The sequence below is a fragment of the Homo sapiens genome, chromosome 1 (genome assembly GCF_000001405.40).
Source record: "Homo sapiens chromosome 1, GRCh38.p14 Primary Assembly".
NCBI lineage: Eukaryota > Metazoa > Chordata > Mammalia > Primates > Hominidae > Homo > Homo sapiens.
Genome location: NC_000001.11, coordinates 51,156,770 through 51,158,784, shown reverse-complemented (window position 1 = coordinate 51,158,784; position 2,015 = coordinate 51,156,770). Strand labels below are relative to the sequence as shown.

The 2,015-nt window shown below is 43.1% G+C and overlaps 1 pseudogene; it reads left to right on the top strand.

Moving 5' to 3' along the window:
• CFL1P2 (cofilin 1 pseudogene 2) lies at positions 245 to 1,346 on the top strand (annotated as a pseudogene).

The following is a 2,015-nucleotide window of genomic DNA, read 5'->3' as shown; positions in this document are numbered from 1 at the left end:
CTGCTTTTGTTGAATCCCACAATTTTGGGGATATTTTGTTTCTATTTAGCTCATTTCAAGATATGTTTGTATTTCCATTTTGATTTCTTCTTTGATGCATTGGTTGTTCAGGAGCACATTGTTTAATTTACACAGTTGTGAATTTTCCAAATTTACTCCTGTTTGTTGATTTCTAGTTTCATGCCATTTTGTCCACAAAATATACTTGATTTGATTCAAATCTTCTTAAAGATGTTAAGACTTGGTTCAGGTGGGTCCTAGCAGCGGTGTCTTCTGAGGCTCTCCATGCCTTCTTCTTTTCACTTCCGGAAACATGGCCTCAGGGGTGGCCGTCTCTGATGGTGTCATCAAGGTGTTCAAGGACATGAAGATGCATAAGTCTTCAATGCCAGAGGAGGTGAAGAAGTGCAAGAAGGTGGTGTTCTTCTGCCTGAGTGAGGACAAGAAGAACATTATCCTGGAGGAGGGCAAGGAGATCCTGGTGGGCGATGTGGGCCAGACTGTCAACAACCTCTATGCCACCTTTGTCAAGATGCTGCCATATAAGGACTACCGCTACACCCTCTATGACACAACCTACGAGACCAAGGAGAGCAAGGAGGAGGACCTGGTGTTTATCTTCTGGGCCCCTGAGTCTGCACCCCTTTAGAGCAAAATAATCTATGCCAGCTCCAAGGACGCCATCAAGAAGAAGCTGACAGGGATCAAGCATGCATTACAAGCAAACTGCTACGAGGATGTCAAGGACCACTGCACCCTGGCAGAGATGCTGGGGGGCAGTGCCATCATCTCCCTGGAGGGCAAGCCTTTGTGAGCCCCTTCTGGCCCACTGCCTGGAGCATCTGGAAGCCCCACACCTGCCCTCGGGGGTTGCAGGCTGCCCCCTTCCTGCCAGACCAGAGGGGCTGGGGGGATCCCAGCAGAGGGAGGGCAATCCCTTCACCCCAGTTGCCAAACAGAACCCGCACCCCTTGGATTTTCCTCCTCCCTCCATCCCTGACGGTTCTGGCCTTCCCAAACTGCTTTTGATCTTCTGATTCCTCTTTGGTTGAGGCAGACCAAATTCCCCCCAGGAACTCCAGTTGTGGAGTGGCCTGTATTTTTTTTTAACAACACCCCTACTCCCCACCTGTTCCTCCCCCTTCCCATGCTGCCAACTTCTAACCGCAATAGTGACTCTGCGATTGTCTGTTTAGTTCTATGCATAAATGGAATGCTGTGGAGATGATCCCTCCCTGTGCCAGCTGTTTCCTCTCCCTTTTCCCCTGATCATTGCTACTCATGGAAGCAGGGCCAGTAAGGGATCTTCGATTAAAAAAAAAAAAAAAAAAGACAATAATAAAAAGACTAAAAAAAAGAAAAAAGATGTTAAGACTTGTTTTGTGGCCAAACAAGTGATCTTTCTGGAAAATGTTCCATGTGCTGATGAAAAGAATGTGTATTTTGCAGCAGTTGGGTGAAATGGTCTGTAACTGTCAGTTAGGTCTATTTGGTCTAGTGTATAGTTTAAGTTTGTTGATTTTCTGTCTGGATGGTCTGTTCACTACTGAGAGTGGGGTACTAAAGTCACCTACTATTACTGTACTGAAGTCTATGTCTTCCTTTAATTCTATTAATGTTTGCTTTATATACTTGGGTGCTCCACTATTGGGTGCATAGATACTTATAATTGTTATATTCTCTCACTGAATTGACCTCTTTTAATCATTATATAATATCTTTCTTTGTCTCTTTTTACAGTTTTTTTGACTTAAAGTCTATTTTGTCAGATTTTAGTATAGCTACCCGTTCTCTTTAGTTTCCATTTTCATAGAAAATTTTTTTCCATCTCTTCACTTTCACTTTCCATCTCTTCACTTTCACTGTGTCCTTAAAGCCAAAGTGATTCTCTTGTATGTAGCATATAGTTGAATCTTGTGTTCCTTTTAAATTGATTCAGCCACTCCATAGAATTTAATCCATTTACATTCAAGGTAATTATTCATAGATAAGGACCTGCTACTGCTATTTTATTA